The sequence below is a fragment of the Homo sapiens genome, chromosome 17 (genome assembly GCF_000001405.40).
Source record: "Homo sapiens chromosome 17, GRCh38.p14 Primary Assembly".
Lineage (NCBI taxonomy): Eukaryota > Metazoa > Chordata > Mammalia > Primates > Hominidae > Homo > Homo sapiens.
Window position 1 is genome coordinate 55,174,462 of NC_000017.11, and position 18,505 is coordinate 55,192,966.

The window sequence follows — 18,505 nt, forward strand, 5'->3', positions numbered from 1 at the left end:
TCTGCTTATTTGTCATCTGTTTATCCTCTTTGATGAAATTTCTGTTCAAATATTTTGCCCATTTTTTTAAACTGGGTTGTTTTCTTGCTGCTGGGTTTTAAGAGTTCTTTATTCTGGATACAAGTCCTTTGTCAGATATGTGATTTTCAAATATTTTCTTGTCTAAATTCAACTTTTCCATATTTCACCTATATACCAGTTTACACACATACAACTTCCCTGCACCTCAGGTTCTGTTTAGGTTGGCCTAGACCACAGAGTGATCTGATTTGGGTTTCTAAGCCAGGGTTTTCAGATCTAAGAATGGCTCTGCCTTCTCCAAGTTATAGTAGATCCCAGATATCTACCTATCACAATTCACTCCATTCCTATATTCCTCTTAGATAATGCAACTTTTAATCTATTAAAAAATGTCATTTATAAGATCACAGGATTTTAAAGGGAAACAGCTACTCGGGAGGCTGAGGCAGGAGAACGGCGTGAACCTGGGAGGCGGAGCTTGCAGTGAGCCAAGATAGCGCCACTGCACTTCAGCCTGCGACAGAGCGAGACTCCATCTCAAAAAAAAAACAAACAAAACATGGCATCTGCAACTCCTTTCACACTAATGACCCTACATTCCAACAAACATTTTTTGAGTGTGGATGTGGCCTTCATAAGAGAACCATTAGGGGAGTCAAATGACAGGAAGTCAAAATGAACTGGGAGGAAATTTGAGAACACTGCAGAGTAGTTCCTAAGCATGGGGAGAGACCTCTATACCACTGAATTATATAGATGTATAGATACCAAATCTGCTTGGAACAGTGTGATTTTTGAAATCTAAAGACACCTGCTGATGCTCATAGCAGAAATGCTGAAAATTAAGCAGAGAGTGGAAATTTTATTGCAAGCCTTCTGGAAATTTTTGTCTATGTCTGTATAATAAGGCAGCAATCTGGAGCTGTCTTGAGAATTAACTTCAAGAATCTAAAGTTGACAGAAACCAGCCCAGGCTATTTGAAAATCATTCTCTTACTGCACCAAGCAGAGGAGTTTATCAGTCAGAAACCCTGCAGGAAATAGGATCCATCACAGATGGTCCAAATGAAGGCGCTGCTCATAGATATGTGGTGAGGGGTCAAAGAACAAGCAAGTGATGGTGAAGCACCCAAAAACTAGCAGGAGGCTGGAAGCTATCTCTCTGCTTTTAGAGTCGGGGGACAAAGGGGAACATAATGTCACTGGAAACCACTGAAAATGAGACCGTGGAGGATCAGGCACCCTGCCAGAGCTGTAGTTGCAGAGGGATGCAGCTAGTATTGGAATATAGTGTCAAAGCAAGAAGGATAGAAAGAGATGAGGCCATCCCAATCTCACTCCCTCCTTTGTCTCTCCCATCCTCCCTTCTGCTTTAGAGCTTCCCATTGCTAGAAGGAAGCCAACCCAAAAGCATTCAGCAGGAGAGCCCAGGGGAGACAATCTATAGGTCTCTACTTCCTCCTGAGGCACAGACAAGATCACAGATGGAACTGAGAGGCAGGTGGGGAATAATTGGCACAGGAGTAATCCAGTGATTCCTGACGCATGTGCAAGAGGAGGTCTGCTATCTGAGAAAGATGAGTATGGGTGAGTAAACAAACCATTCATTTTTTGATGGGTAATTATCGCCCACCTTCTAGGGGCACAGATGCTGCCCATGGATGAGATACACAGTTCTTATTCTCACAGAGCTTACAGCCAGTCAAGTGAAGCAGAGAAGAAGGCAAACTCAGCACAGGGGAGGAAGTAAGTGTGACAGACGCACATAGTGGAAGCATGTAACTCAGGAAAGAGTGGTCTGCGAGGGCTTTTTGGAGGAAGTTATGCCTCAACAGAAATGTAAATGATTCGTAGATATTGACGAGGCATGTGGAGAAGAGGAAAGGTGAGAGAGCCTCCTGAGTAATGTCAGGGTGATGAGACAGAGTGATGCTGTGGGGTTCAGTGTAACCATGTAAACAGAGCACATCTTCAGGTGGGCAACCAGGTGGGGACAGTAGGAATAACCTGAAATAACTCTGGAGAAGTAAGCAGGGCTCAGATGCCAAAAGGCCTCATAAGCTATGTTAAAAAATCTGGACATTCCCCTAAGAGTAAGGGTGAGGCACAAAAGATCTTAAGTACGGTGTGATCATTAATTTTATGTGTCAGTTTTACTGTGTTGAGGGATACCCAGATAGCTAGTAAAACATTATTTCTAGGTGTGTCTGTGAGGGTGTTTCTGAAAAAGATTAGCATTTGAATCAGTAGACCCAATGAAGATCTGCCCTCAGCAATGTGGGTGAATATCATCCAATCCACTGAGGGCTTGAACAGAGCAAAGGCAGAGGAAGGGAGAATCCTCTCTCCCTCTTCTTGAGATGGGACATCATTCTTCTTCCCTCAGACATAATATTTCCTGGTTTTGGGGCCTTGAGACTCAGATTGGGCCTTCCACCAGCCCCACCCTCACCCTATCCCCACCTCCCCACTTAGTTCTCAGGCCTCAGAAGAGAGTCTCATCATTGGCCCCCACCAGTTCTCAGGACATCAGACTGGGACCAAATTACACCCCTGCTTTCCTGGTTCTCCAGCTTACAGAGGCATCTCCTGGAACTTCTTAGCCTCTGTCATCACACAAACCAATTCCCATAATAAATTCCCTCTTATCTCTGTACCTATAATGATACATATGAAGATACTGGTTCTGTTTCTCTGGAGAACCCTGACTGAAACACAGGGCAATGGCATAATAAGATTTGTTTTTAAAAACTCCCAGGTGTAGAGGACAGCTGGGCAAGGAACAAGAGTGGAGGAAATTTTCAGACTGGTCCCTTCTCTGGCTGTAACACCCTGGCCAAGTGTCTCAACCTCCCTAAGCCTAGCGCCCTCACCTGTTCAACAGCAATAATCAGGCCTGTCTTGCCTACCTCACTAGATTATTGCAAGCAGTGAAGGGACGTGAACAGGCTCTGGCAACCAGAAAGCACAGTCATAATTCCAAATAACATGATGAAAAGAAAATGTGGCTGATATTGTTAATTTCCCAAGGAAATCTGTGTAGTCCTCTGACTCATTTTGCAAAGACTGGAGAGGAAATGGAGAAGGAAGCACACCAGAGCCAACACTTTGAAAGGAGGTTGTTCATTCCATCACTTTCGAAATGGAGATTCTGTCCTCCTGGCTGTGTGGCACATGATTGCTGTCCAATAAACAGGAATTGATGAATGGCTGAGTGAGGCTTTGTTTTGTTTTCATTTTTCAAACTCTTATGACTGCAGAGGGGAAAACTAAATCAATGCCATATGCCTGTAAAAATCCCTCTGACATCTTTTATTGTAATGGAAGATGACAATGGTTATCAGAGCAGAAGGAACATGCCTGAGTGAAAGTAAATACCAAACACCTTTTGGGAAACAAAGCACCTCCTGGTGACCTTTGCAGCTGTTCCACTCCCTAAATTATGGCAACCTGGAGTTGTCTAATGACAGTCTAACCAGGATTTCCTCTTGTTTTCAAATGTGTGCGTCCTCCCTCTCCCTGGGTTGTGCAGAATTTTAAATGTCACAGTAATCACATTTTTCCCGAGGATAACATGAAATATCATTGGAGCTTAATGGAGATGAACAAATGATCAAATTCAGATGTTGGTGATATATCATGTTAGAGGAATGAGATCTATTCCACAAGCTGCAAAGCCTCTAAATTTTGTTAACACAAATAAGAAATAAAGTAGCAAAAGCTACTATTTCTGAGTCCCTACCATGCACCCCACCCTGTTCCAAGTACTTTACACCTATCATCTCATTTAATCCTGACGGTTCTTCAGCGTGGGCATTATTGTCCCCATTTAACACATAAATTCAGATAAATTCATTGAACTATTTAAAGCCACATGGCATGTGGTTTTGTGAATGTCCCCCATTCAAGCTATATGGCCTTAATAAAGTTACTTACCTGCTGTCAGCCTCATCTGCAGAATGCAAATATCAAAGACCTCTCACTCATAAGATTGTGAAGGATTACATTAAATAAGTTATGTGTAGCACTTAAGTACAGTGCCTGCTATACTGCAATCACTTACTGTATTAGTCAGAATTCTCCAGAGAACCAATAGGAGATATATAGATTTGTTTTATACATATAAGGAGATTTATTGTAAGGAATTGGTTCACATGATTAAAGAGGCTGTGAATTCCCATGACCTGCTATCTGCAAGCTACAGTAGACTCCAAAGAGCTAGTGGTATAGTGTCAGTATGAGTCTGAAGGCCTAAGAACCAGGACAGCTGAGGTCCAGTTCAAGTGCAGGAGAAGATCAATGTTCCAGCTCAAAAACAGAGAGAAAGAAATCTTTCTTACTCAGCTTTTATTCATCCAGACCTTCAATGGAGGAAGAGGCCTAACCCATACTGGGGAGGAAAATCTGTTTTACTCATTCTATCCATTCAAATATTAATCTCACCCAGAAATACCCTCACAGACACACCCAGAAATGTTTAATAGGATATCTGGGCACTCTGTGCCCCAGTCAAGTTGACATATAAAATCACACTAAATAGTGCCTTATTAGCAATATTATTGTGATTGTTATTATTGTAGATCTGGTATTTTACATCTGTCTAGCCCTTTCCACATTGCCCGAAACCAAAACCAATCATCAGTATAATCATAATGAAATCAAAGCTACATATAATTTTTTTCTTCCCTTAGGAAATTTTTCAACATCTTGCACATTTAATTCATGGCAAGAGTTACTACCACTGGGACTATTTAATACTCTTGGGGAAAAGTGGAAATATATGATAGCAATTCAGAAATAAAGGAATGTCTCATATTGATTCCTAGAGCATGGAAAAAAAAATAAAGGAGGGGGCCTAATTAACAGCTTCTTGCCAACCCTTCAGACTAGACCTGTGAGTATAGGTAACCAAGCAAAGAAGAGCTTAGACCATGAACTAAAAGAAAGCACATCCTTGGGCTGCAGGCATCTCATTAGACTCTCCTATATAAAACTGAACAAAAATGAGTTCAAATCTGAAGGCAAAAAGCTATATACAGTTGATCCTTGAACAACATGAATTTGAACTGCATGGGTCCACATATACATGGATTTTCTCCTACTTCTGCTACCCATGAGATAGCAAGACCAACCCCTCCTTTTCCTCCTCTTCCTCTTCCTCTCCCTATTCAATATGAAGATGATGAAGATGAAGATCTTTATTATGATCCACTTCCACTTAATGAGTAGTAAATGTATTTTATCTTATGATTTTCTTAATGTTTTCTTTTCTCTAGCTTATTTTGTTGTAAGAATATAGTATAAACTATATGTTACATACAAAATATGTGTTAATCAACTTTATGTTATCAGTGTGTTATTATCAGACTCAAAAGTTATATGTGGATTTCTGACTGCAGCAGTGTGGCGAGATTGGCACCCCTAACACTAGCATCATTCAAGGGTCAACTGTATATATCTATACCACAAAATATTCCATGGAATTTTCCTTGACTCAAACCGATATCTCATTTACTAAGGTGCCCACTTTCTACCCACCACCTCCATGTCTGGTGGTGGAGTGAGAAAGAGCTGAGCTTGACATGAAGCCCTGCCACATACTAGCTTTGTTACCTTGAGCTAAATACTCATCTCTGAGCTGCAGGTGCCTCCTCCATTGGGCACAAAACCAACTCAACAGAGTCATTATGAAGGTTAAGGAGGTGCCTGGCTCTATGTCTGGCACATGATAAGACCGTCGTAAATGTGAGCTTTCTTCCACTCTCTTCCTCTCACCTCCATAAGGAAAAAGTAGTAATATTTTCTTAAATAGCTACTGTTTGGGGACAACTGAAAGATGCCATTTGTTCTTCTTTGCATAAGGAGAAACCTAGAACTAAAAGAACTATAGGAACTTTCAAGTCCACTGGTCATCAAACGATACTCTGTGAAGCCTTGTTGGGGAGTTTGAGGTTGGGTGAGATTTCTGTCCCTGTTCACCCCTACACTTCAACCTGAGTTCTTTTTACTTGCTTTATGTATGTATTTAAGACCTTGCTTTAACAAAGGAATCCCCAGAAAATAATTGCAAACCACCAGTCTAAAGAATTACAATTTAGAGATGAGGAAATGGAGACTTTACAGGTAAGGCAACCAACTCTACAATCATTTGAAACAGAATCAGAATTGAAAGGCTGGTTTCTGAACTCTGAGACCACCATGCTTTCTGTCATTAAGCTGTAACACCTCACTATTACCAGTGTGGGAACAATAATGTGATATGACAGAAAGCCTCCCTCATCACAGAGAAACTTAGGTTTGGCTCAGGTTTACTGAGGGGAGTTTCCCATGAAGAGACTTAAGACAAGAGGAAAGACCATTTTAGGCATATCTCAGAGGTCAAGGTGGATAGCACCTGCTCTGTATGGCCTATAGAAGTCAAAATTCCTTTTAGATTCCTATTCCAAGACTTCATCCTACATCATGTCAACTGACACAAAACAATCCATTTTTTACTTTCTGCTACAAGAGCTGAGTATACTTCAATTCACTAACATTTGGGGGAATGGAGGTGGAGACAGATGCAGGTTCACTTTGCTAAACTCATAACATTACTCTATCACACTAGCAACCTATGCTTCTTAACCTTTCACCTTTGTTTCTTCTCAGCTCCTTCATCTGATTGTCACATAAGACTCTAAATTCTTCTGCTACTTTGCAGACTTATCTAGTTTTTCTACCATTCTTGAATATTCAGAACTACCAAGGTGCTTAGCAATTTGAAAAAGTCCTCATGCTATCAATAATCAGCCTTCTTAGAATGTAGTTGTAATTATAGGTACAAATTTTTTAAATAAATCTTAAATTAAATTGTATTCTATTATAGGAAAAACAGAGTCACCTATGATACAATGAGAGGATAAAGCAGTAATGCTGAATTTTTCCTACTCAAATTTCACCTTCCCTTTGGAGTGCTGTCACAATTCTTTTGCTGATATCTCATTCAGGCCCTGGAAAATGTTATTTTCACCTTAAAATTCACAGCCCAAGCCTGAACTGCATCCCTCTCCTTGGTTCCCATAAGAAGCACAGAGAAAGGGAAATTTAATTTTTAAGATAATTAAATAGCATCTGAAATGGTGGACTAAGTAGTTCAAACCAACACTCCCACTGAAGACAATTAGAAAATCCGGACTTAAAAATAATCGCTAAAGTCATTGGAAAGCTGAAAAGGCAATGAGAAATGCTAAGACTGATATCTGAAAGAAGATGGAAACCAATAGAGATAAGTTAAACATTTGAGCCTATTTACCCTTAGGGTATCTGCTGATTCTAGAAGGGGTGAGTAAGGGTATGAGTTACTGAACAGAAATTTTAACAGATTCATTAGCGTTAAAGAGACAAAAGTAGGAGGAGTCCAGAGCCCACCAAAGGGGTACTGATAAATCTTTGGAACTTTAAAGGCTCAACATCCTATGAGTAAGGGTAAAGTGGAAGATTAACCCTTGCAGAAACTGAAGACAAGATTAAAATCATTTCAGTCCCTGAAACTGGATCAATATAACTCAAAGATTCTAGTGCCCCTACTTATCTTCCATAAATAAACACAAATTATCTTTTTCTTTTTTCTTAATTTTCATACTACCATATCCAGCAGGTGGTAAAAAGAAACCAAGCACATGAGAAGACAAGGCAAGAATCAAGAGAAAACAGCAAAAAGAGAGTTCTAGATAATGGAATTATTAGTCACAAACTTTAGCAATTCTTATAAAGGAGATAAAAGACGAAATTCGAGATTTTGGCAGATAATTGGAAACCACAGAAAAGGGGATACTTTAGAGCTAAAAGATATAACCAAAATTAAGAACTCCATGATGTGTTTAACAGCAGTTAGGCACAACTTAAAACAGGGAAATGGAAGAAAACATCCAGAATTATGCAAGAAGGAACAAAAGAATAAAAATACAGAAGAGACTAAAGGGCATATGAAGTACAGTGAGAATATGAAGTACAATGAGAAGGGATAACGTATAATTTGAGTCTCAGAATATACAGAGGGAAATAATGGGTTAGAAAAAATATTTGAATATACATTGACTGAATTCTTACCAAAACTGATGTAATATATTAAGCCATAAATTCAAGAGTGCTTACAAACCCCAAGTAGGATAAATACAAAGAAAGCCACATCTAGACACATCATAGTAAAACTTCTAATAAACAAAGACAAAAAGAAAATATTGAAAGCAGACAGAAAAAAAAAGACCACTTACCATGTCAACAGAAATAATAAGAGACAAAAAACAATAGAATTACTCCTACAAAGTGCTAAGGAAAACAACAACAACAACAAAAAACATTGCCAACTTAGAATTCTATGTCTGGCAATAATGGCTTTTAAGAACAAAGATAAAATGAAAACTTTTTTAGACAACAAAAGTCAAGAGAATTGAAGAGACCCATGTTAAAGGAAGTTTTTAAGAAACAAGTTACTCCAAATGAAGCTTAAAGATGAAAGAAAGAATAAAAATCAAATAAAAGAATAAATATGTGATTAGAGTTCAATGAATATTGACTGTAAAAAGCAATAATGATTACATCTCATAGAGTTTTAAATATCTCTAAACCTATTGATAGGCAGCAACAATAGCATATAAGTCAAAAGGAGGGTAGACTTCAAATATTCTAATGTCCTTGCACTTTACATAAAGAGGGTAAAAACTACCAAGCAGCATTAGCCTTTAATGGGTAATGGATGAATGTTGTAATCTCTCAATCAACCACCATAAAGTTAGTAAAAGTAAAAAAATGGAAAATTCAACTAACATAAAATAAGACAAGAGGCTAGGCACAGTGGCTCATGCCTGTAAACCCAGCACTTTAGGAGGCTGAGGTGGGAGGATTGCTTGAGCCCAGGAGTTCAAGACCAGCCCGGGCAAGACAGCAAGACCCAGTCTCTATAAAAAATAAATAATAAATAAGAAGACAAGAAACAAGAAATATGTACATACATTGGTTGGCATAAGTAGAAAGCTCATGTTAAAATGACAGATTCAAGCCAAATATATCAGCAATTGATTAAATGTAACTGGACTAAATGCCTCAATTGTAGGCAAAGATTGTCAGACTTTATAATTCAACAAAGGTCAACTATAACTGTGACTCTTGTTCACAAGAGTCATTTCAACATGGAGATATTGTAAAAGGATATAAAAAGCAAATGAATTTTAAGAGATATACAGTGCAAAGAAAAACTGAAAGAAAGGTAGTATCACTAAATTAACAGAGAAAAGTATACTTGAAGGCCAAAATTGTCACAAATGAATAAAAGAGAAACTTCATAATAAAAAATGGTTTAATTTGCCAGGTAGCTGTGGCAATTATACATTTATGTGAACCAAATAATATACAAGCTTATGTTATTATTTCAATATCTCACTAAGAGTTTTTCATCATACCTTGCAGTATAAGCAGACAAAAATAATCAGAAAAAGTTATGGACAATCTGAACAACACATTTATAAATGTGACTTAATTGTTATCCTACTTAACAACTGTAAAATACACTTTTTTTTTCAAATACACATGAAGTAGTTATAAAACTTGACCATATTCTGGGTCATAACACAATTCTCAACCAATGTCAAAGAACTGAAATCACCTCATCTGACAAATGATGATTTTATTTCTTCCTTTATAATTGTATAACTTTTATTACTTTTTCTAGCCTTATTAAGTTGCTTAGTGAATTATTGAAAAGAGGTTGTAGAGGGCAAGTTTGTTACATTCCCAATCTCAAAGAGAAAATGTGACATATTATTTATAACCAGAAGAGAAATTTAATTTTTACTATTTTTTAAAAAGTTATTATCATAATGTATAACACATGCACAAGTGTACCAAATATAAATATGCCATTCAGTGAATCATCACAAAGAAAACACTTGTATAAGCATCACACAGGAGAAATAGAACTTTCTAGCACCCTTGAAGTCCCCTTGAGCTCTTCCTTTTCTCCAAGGTAACCAGTATCCTAACTTCTGAAAGTATGTATTCCTTTCGTGTGCTTTTAAACTTTATGTAGATGGAATCATACATATGTATTCTTTTACCTGGCTTTAAAAAACTCATTGCAACATCAGAAAAATATAAGCTGAGGAGTATTCTTTAAAGTAATCTCTAGTCTTCAAGTGTGTTAACATCATAAACGTCAGGGGAAAACTGAGGAATTATTCCAGAGCAAAGGAAGCTAAAGAGACCTAACTAATAAATGTTTTCTTGGATTAGCTCCTGGACCTATGCAGATATTATTGGAACAATAGGCAAAAATTGAAGGGGGTCTGTGGATTAGATGGTATTATTGTACTAATGTTAATTTCTAGATTTTGGTGATACTTTGGTTGTATGAAAGATTGTTTGTTTGTTTGTTGAGATGGGGTCTCGCTCTGTCACCCAGGCTGAGTGCCGTGGTACCATCACAGCTCACTGCAGCCTTGACCTCCTGGGCCCGAGCCATCCTGCCACCTCAGCCTCCTGAGTAGCTGGGATACAGGCGCATGCCACCAGGCCAGGATAATTTTTGTATTTTTTGTAGAGATGAGGTCTTGCTTCATTGCTGAGGCTGGTCTAGAACTCCTGGGCTCAAATAATCTGCCCATCTCGGCCTCCCAAGGTGCTGGAATTACAGGCATGAACCACCACCTGGCCACTATTTTCTTCTTCTTCTTTTTCTTCTTCTTCTTCTTCTTCTTCTTCTTCTTCTTCTTCTTCTTCTTCTTCTTCTTCTTCTCCTTCTCCTTCTCCTTCTCCTTCTCCTTCTCCTTCTCCTTCTCCTTCTCCTTCTCCTTCTCCTTCTCCTTCTCCTTCTCCTCCTCCTCCTCCTCCTCCTTCTCCTCCTCCTTCTCCTTCTTCTTCTTCTTCTCATACTGAAGTATTACAAAGCCATGGGGCATTATGTGTGCAACTTGCTCTCAAGTGGGGTGTGTGTACGTGTGTGTGTGTGCACATAGAGAGGAAAAGAGAATAGAAATTATAAGGTACATGAAGTAAAATGTTAATAAGGAATCTCTGTGGAGAATATATGAGGTCTTTATATTATTTCAAAATGAAAATGAAAATAAAGCATTATAACATGAGCAACTTCCAATGGTATTAAAAATTCACCTGCCTTCAAGGTGTTCATAGTCAAAGACCGGAGTGGAGAGAGCAGATGAGTACTGGGCAGTGACATCTGAGGACAACTACTCTGATAGGGCAAAGCACTTACTGTGTGTGCCAGGACCACAGAGGAGACAGACTCAACGCATCCACTCAGGGCATGGAGGCTTCCTCACAGAATTAATGGTTGACCCAAGCCTTACAGGAGGTCATAATCTGGAGAAAGACGAAAAGGGTGAACTGAGCAGAGGAACGTCATGTTTAAAGGCACGGAGAAAGGAGAGAATCTGGTGAGTTTGGGAAGCTGTAAATGGCTGTCCATGGCTGGGACCCAGGATCCATGTGTGGAGGCACCAGAGCATGAAGCAGCCTGGACTTTATCCTGAAGATGATGGTGCATAACAGGGTGTTAGATCTAGAGTGGACATAACAATTACTACGCCAACCCCTTCCATATATCCTCTGTGAAACAGAGCTTTTACCACCACTATGCAATTACTTGTCTACAAACCCTCCACGTGATTGCTGACACTGAACCATACATTAATTTATGACCACAAATATAAATGAAAAAATTAGCTTGGGATAAATGCAATTTTTTTTGAGACAGGATCTCGCTCTCTCACCCATCCTGCAGTGCATAAATGCATTTAAATAGTGAATGCCATAAAAAGAAATTTTCAGGAGGAAAACAATGCATGGAAAGAAAAGCTCTAGCTATATTTCAAGTTAACAAATACGGAAAAAGCGATCTTAAGAATTAATAGCCTCATTATATATTAATACTTCTAAAACTAAGCAAATTTGAAAAAACTTGGTTGGCTTTGTTTAGTAAATCAAAGTATGTAGTGTTGTAAAAGAATAGGCATTTAAAGAAAATATATCTTTACTAAAATCCAAATGGGGAAAATATGCAATGCACCAAATTCTAAAGGATGTATGATGGTTCAATCAAAGGAACATGGAAGTTACAAGGCAGCTGAGTTGAAGATCAAAAATGAATTCTTGGCTTAGAGAAGAGGTAATAAAATGACAAAATCATTTTATCTGTGATGTGGTGCATGGTCTTTGGAGACAGACAAATGTGGAGAGGAATACACAAGGTCTCTGTGATCTTTTGCCAGTTGATTATCCAGTTGTCATGAAGGCTAAATGACAAATAGATATACTATCATTAGTCCCCAATAAATATCACTCCCTTTCTCATTTTCTCCATTCATTCCTCTTTCCTCCATTTCACAGCTATATCCTTATTTTCACACATGACCAACAAAAGAGACAGCAAGCAAAACAAAGATCCTCCAAAATTACCTTAAAAGACCCAAAATAAAAAGAGCTCACTCTTCAAATCAAAAGGGACAAAGAAACCATGAAAGGTATTCATTCAAGTGAGGCTTAGAGGCTGTGGGGCGAAGAAATACACGGATGTCCAGAGCTGCCTTATGCAGACAGAGTATTTTGCAAATCTGTTCCAGGCGTCTGCTGAGGTTTCTGCCTCCTTCAGGGAATGTATTGCCGTCATTAATGCACACTGACTGGTATGCTTTCCCTCCAACTGGTTTTGCAGAGAAGTAGGCAGCATGCACCCTCATAGGCAAGATGCAAAAGGAGAGCAGAGAGGCAGGATGTCCATGTATATGCAGAAACCTTGCCCAGAAGATGACTTATTACATTAAAGGTGATCAAGCTTGGGAAGGAACCATGAAAACTCTATTATGCTGTTAGGAATATTCACAGCCAAGTATGTGATAAACTGCACCCCTCCCTTGTTTCTTGCCAAACAGGCTGATGTGCTGTGCTGCTTATGATTTAAAAAAAAAAAAACAACAACAACAGTGTTCTATGGAGCCCATTCTTAGAATGCCAAAGATCATGACAAGTCCCAGATCTTCTGAGCCAACCCAAACCTGGCTGGTCTCAGAGATGGATGATATAGCATCCTGGAGCTGGCCCAGTGTTCCTCTCCAAATGGATTCAGGAAATGCACTGAGCGCTGACAAAGCTTCCTCCCAAGGTTGTGAGGCTGTAATGAGAACACATCCGAATTTCCCCCCAGGGAGGCTGCCAAGAACTCAGAGGAGTGGGGAAGGAGTGTCTGGACCACGGGATGGCTGTGAGGGAGATAAGCTCCAGCCCTCTAGAGTTGTCGATCAGGGATTTAGAGGGACTTAGAGAGAATGAAAGCACTCAGAGAAATAAACCTTTCATAACCATCTTTAGGGCAGGCAGACATAAGAATTAAAGAGTAACAAAGATCTTTGCTCTGACAGAAGAGCCCAGAAAGCTTAAACCATAGCAACCTTGGTAATAAGTGTACCAGATGCTATGCCGAACTCTACATGCATTATCTCATTTAATCTTCATGATGTCCCTGTGATTGGCACTGTTATCATATCCATTTTACAGATGAGGAAACTGCACCTTAGAGAGGTTATGCAACTAATCTAAGACCAACAGCAGTGAGTTTTGAAACCATCACTAGATACTGCCTCTCCATTGAAGATAATCTATTGCCTAACAAGGTGTTTAGCACACTGTAAGCATTCGGTAAATAATTATTAATGAAATAAATAATCAACTAATGTTGAATATGGCAGAATAAGGTCAGCACTGGATTAATGAAGACCTGCACTAACTGGCTGTGTAACTCACGGTAAGTTGCTGGATGTGTCTGGGTCACATTGTCCTCATCTGAAAAGAAGAATTTAGACTATATGCTCCCTGGGAAATATGGCATGATGAATAAGTCATATGGAGAGCCAGCATTTAAAAGAACCCATGCATCAAGTCTAAACCAGAGTCCCCATTGTAATTCTGACCCATGTTCCAGCTATCTGAAATTGCTTCTCTCTCCCTAGAACAGTGATACCTGGGAACTGGACAGACACGCACCTCTTTCTCTCCAGAGCACCTTATGGAATAGTAGCAGAGGGCACTGCCACTAACAGAAGGGCCCTTTATTAGAGCTGCCATTCCATTCTCAGTGACTGCATTCTCCTCTTTGTCTCACTCAAAAAGCACTGTGGCCACTCCTGATTTTAAAGGATCCCACAAAGAATTTTCTTACCCTGGTTCCTGGCAATTGAAGTGCAGAGATCCTTTCTACCAAAGTGATTCCATAATGACAGCAACCATCTATTAGAATGGTCTCAGAGCAAAACTATGTTCTTAAATGCTTTCCGAGTTTCCTCTTCTTTCCGTTAAAATTTCTTTTTGTCATTAAAAGGCATTAAGTAAGAGCTTGGGCAGAACTTGCTGAACTGCAGAATTGGTTGCTTTTGTATCAATTCTTACTGTACCCAGACATTATCCGTATTTCATTCTTTTTTTAGTCACTGTCTGCTTCCAGACCTGTTCATTCTCCTCATCTACCCAGTCTCCATCAAAGCCTGCCACCTCTGGGAAGACTTTTCTGAGTCCCTCAAGCAGATGTGGGCACTTTTTGTAGGAATGAATTATACTTGAGGCTAGAATCCATGATTTCTCCCCTTTGCGTGCTCAGTACCCAGCAGAAGGCCTGATGCAAGGGGGACATAGAATATATATTTGGCAAAAAAAATGCTGAAAGGATGCTTCAAAAAACCAAGTAAAACATTAATAGATTAAATGAAAAGTAAATTATGAGAATATATATTTTTTAGTAATGGTTATCAAAGAGTCTACATCCAGACAATAATTACACTGATGACCACTTTTCCTCTTTAGACTTTATAAAATGTGTGACTTGAACAAGCCCTGTGTAAGTTGAAGCTAAGGACAGATAGTTTATCTAAGAGAGAGAAAGATGGATTTTCTGAAAATCCAAATGCATTTGCATCAGAGCTTACTTTGAGCCTTAACCCAGTTCCAACAAATGGATGAAAGGATCAACCTTTCCATCAACAAGCATCTACAAGAAACAGGCTGCCCATCACTGCCCTAGATCTCAGAGACGAAGTGAGGCCACGGTCAAGTTACGTGCCCCAGATGGAAGGAGACAGTTTAGTCTGAAAGAGTGAAGGCTGAGTTATGAAGTAATTCTTGTTGAAAATAAACCTATACAAGTAATTAAATTTGGAATATCAGTCCTCTCTGACATTGGCCAGTTCTGTGGCCCTATTCAAACAAGATTACGCTCTGAAAAACAGATGCTAGACGAAAAATATGAGAAAGTATAAGAGTCATCTATGTGCTACCCAGGTGGTGTGATTCAGTGGGAAGAGTGACTGTAAATTGGATTAAACCTGGGTTAGAATCCTAGCCTTGCCCCACAGTACCTCTTAGTCATGCCACTTACCTTCTGAACATCATTCTCCTCTCTAGAAGAGTAGAGAAAATAACACTTATTATATATTGTTGAAAGTAGGCAGTTCAGTAAGTGTTACTTTCCTTTCCTCTAGGCAGTAGGCCACTGGAGAAAAGAATTGATAGGGAAACTTTCTAAACGGGGAAAAAATTGGCTAGATTTCCAAGTGGGGAAATTTTACTGTTGGGATAATTTGGTTTTAGAAAGGAATACTGAAGGTAGGAATCCTCAAGAATTGGAATCTCTAGTGAATCACTTTAATTCTACAAATACTTATTGAACACCATAATGTGACAGGTATTGTCCTGAACCCAAGGATACAGCAAGGAACAGAACAATCCCTGCCCTCAGAGAGCTCACAAGCTCTCAGGAAAGATATTCATTAAATGTCTGCATGTGTGATGAGCATTTTGAAAGGGTTCCAGGGAAGCATAGGGGTGCACAAGACCTCATGTATACTGTCAAGGATGGCCTTATCTGAGAAAGATTCGTTGATGCTAATAATGAATGAATAAGTAGGGATACAATGGTCAATTTCACATTCCCCACCACCACTATTCATATGCCACAGATATGTCTGACATTCCTGCTACATGCCAAGCCCTGAAGAGACAGAGATAAAAGAGAAACTATAAAGTCTGTGATCTCCCAAGGCCTCAAACCCCACAGAAGAACAAAAGTAATTGCATAGATGCCAAATAATATCATAAATAAAGGGTTTTGAAAACAAAGGAAGGAATGGTGGATCTGCTCCCGAGGGAGATAATAAGCATGCCAAGGAGGAGATCCAGCATTGTGGTTTGGGTGGCAATTTCCACGCTACTCCCTGAGCTTTTACACTGTGTATATAAGTGAGACCTGCAGTGCCAGCTGGTATTGTTAACAACTCAAGGCATTAATGTAATACAGTGATGCCCTCAGAAAAAAAATAGAGCTGATAAAGAAATTAACGTGTTCAAAAATACACACTTCATCTGCTGACTTGCTCACATTTCCTTCACACATGGTGGGGTTTACTCAGAGCCAGAGAGAATGACCGTAGCAGTAAAGTGAAACTCACAAGTGATAGTCAGGGGAAAGGCCAATCCCCACCCTAGCCTCATTTACTGAGCAACTGGAGAGCTTCCATTTTCAGAGCCCTTTCCAGTCTTCAAAGTATCTTCATATTCCAATTTTATTGGTTCTTCCCAACAAATCCTAAAACAAGGAGTGCAGATCTTTTATTCCCATTATACAGATGAGGAAGCTGAAACTCAGGGTAGATAGGTTCTTTCTAGAGTCATGTGGCTGGAGAGTGCTGAAGGGACTATTAGAACCCAAGTCTGATTTTCGCTTTACTGATCTAATACCCCAGGACAGGGCTTCTCAAACTACAATGTGCATATGTGCCACCTGGGAGCCAATATGCAGAATCTGATTCATAAGTCCGGGGTGGGACCTGAGATTCTGCATTTCCAGCTCTGTGACACCAGCTGGAGAAAACGCATTCTTCCTGATGAAAGATAATCATAGTCTGTGTTTCCCAGATGAAATTTCTTCAAATGGTTATGACAATGGAGGATCCTTCTTATTTTTTCAAAATACCAAATAGTGGTCCCTCAACAACTTCAACCTAAGCAATACTTATTTCCCTGACACTTCAGGGGACATAGACGTCTTCTGTTATAGTTCATCTGTCTCTGTTCTCATCCCCATCTCTCTTAGTCTCTTTCTGCATCTACCTCAGTCTCTGACTCTTTTTCTATTACTCTTTCTCATACTTGACCACCAAACTATGTCCTTGAATGTACAGTGTCAAGTTGAGGTGTTCTCCGATACCAACAATCAATTCTCTGATTCTCCAGGCACTAACTCAAGATATCCAGCAATTCAATTCAATTCTCACACTGCTCAGAGATAGTGCAGATCCCACAGCTTAAGAGCTCAGTCAAACAAGGCTTCCCCCAATTTCAGGCACCAGTCAAAAATCCCAGGCCCCCTGTATTTCTGACTGATTGGTTACAAATTGTACGTTTCCACAACATCTTTCTTATGCTTGATAATTTGCTAGAACAGTTCACCCAACTCAGGAAAGTGCTTTACTTACTATTAGCAGTTTATTATAAAGGATATAACTCAAGAACAGCTAAATGGAAGTGACAAATAGGGCTAGGGATTGTGCTATATAAGTTTGTGAATTATGTAATTTAATCATAACCAAAACCAAAAGAAATACGTGCTATTGAATCCAATAAAAAATTCTGTCTGTCTGAGTTCTGAGTGAATTGATAAAAAGACAAAGGGACTAAATGTATCATCTCTATTATTGATAAACTATAGGTTGGAGGATAGAGTGTATATTTTCAGATGAATGGCTTTTCCAATACTACATCCCAGAAGTAAATAAACTCACAGGTATCCTGGAACCACAGCAGACCTCTCAATGGAAAGGCAATCCACTGTAAAATGTATGGCATGACAGAAGTGGACTTACTTCATGTGAGCAACGTGGTGTCAAGAGGAAGAAAGGGAGGGACAATTGAATGTGCTCAATTTGAAAGTTGTTCTTCCTAAATTAACCTATCAAGTTAGTTACTTCACCCTAAACACACACACGCCACCTTCAAAGTGTAATGAGTAAAATGGAGGAAAGAGACCAGGACTCCTACATCAATTGAGTTCCTTCTGGATGAAAGGAAATACCTGAAGAGGGGAGAAATCACTCTTTCCAAGATGTATGATTAGCCCCCACATTCATAATCACTATGTGCCAGGAATTTGCTAAACACTTTGTACATGGATTACTCATTTAGTGCTCACAGTCAGCCTCTGAAGTCTCTACTCTTAGTATGCCCATTTTACTGATGAAAATTCTCAGGCTTAGAGAGATTAACTAACTTTCAGGGGATCCAGCCAGTATGTAGTGAAGGCTGGATTCAAACCTGAACAGACACAGACACTCAAATCTTTGTCTTATATTGCTGACCCAGAGGAGCCTCTCTGATGAGGAAACTGACAGTCTGAGAAATTAATTCACACAGCCAATAGTTAGTAGAGCCAGATTTCAAACCTGCAGCGATCTCT

General features: G+C 39.3%; 1 protein-coding gene across 2 annotated transcripts in view; it reads left to right on the forward strand.

Moving 5' to 3' along the window:
- STXBP4 (syntaxin binding protein 4) overlaps positions 1 to 18,505 on the forward strand; it is a 244,509-nt gene that overhangs the window by 205,697 nt on the left and 20,307 nt on the right. Inside the window, exon 18 of one of the 2 annotated variants that reach the window (XR_007065289.1) lies at positions 1,398 to 1,608. Coding sequence is in view for 1 of the 2 variants with exons in the window: in XM_047435714.1 (XP_047291670.1) it covers positions 1,398 to 1,413 (16 nt within the window). In the remaining variant the exon portion in view is untranslated. Of the gene's footprint in view, positions 1 to 1,397; positions 17,695 to 18,505 lie in introns of those variants that run through there. The other variant, XM_047435714.1, reaches the window with a different exon arrangement.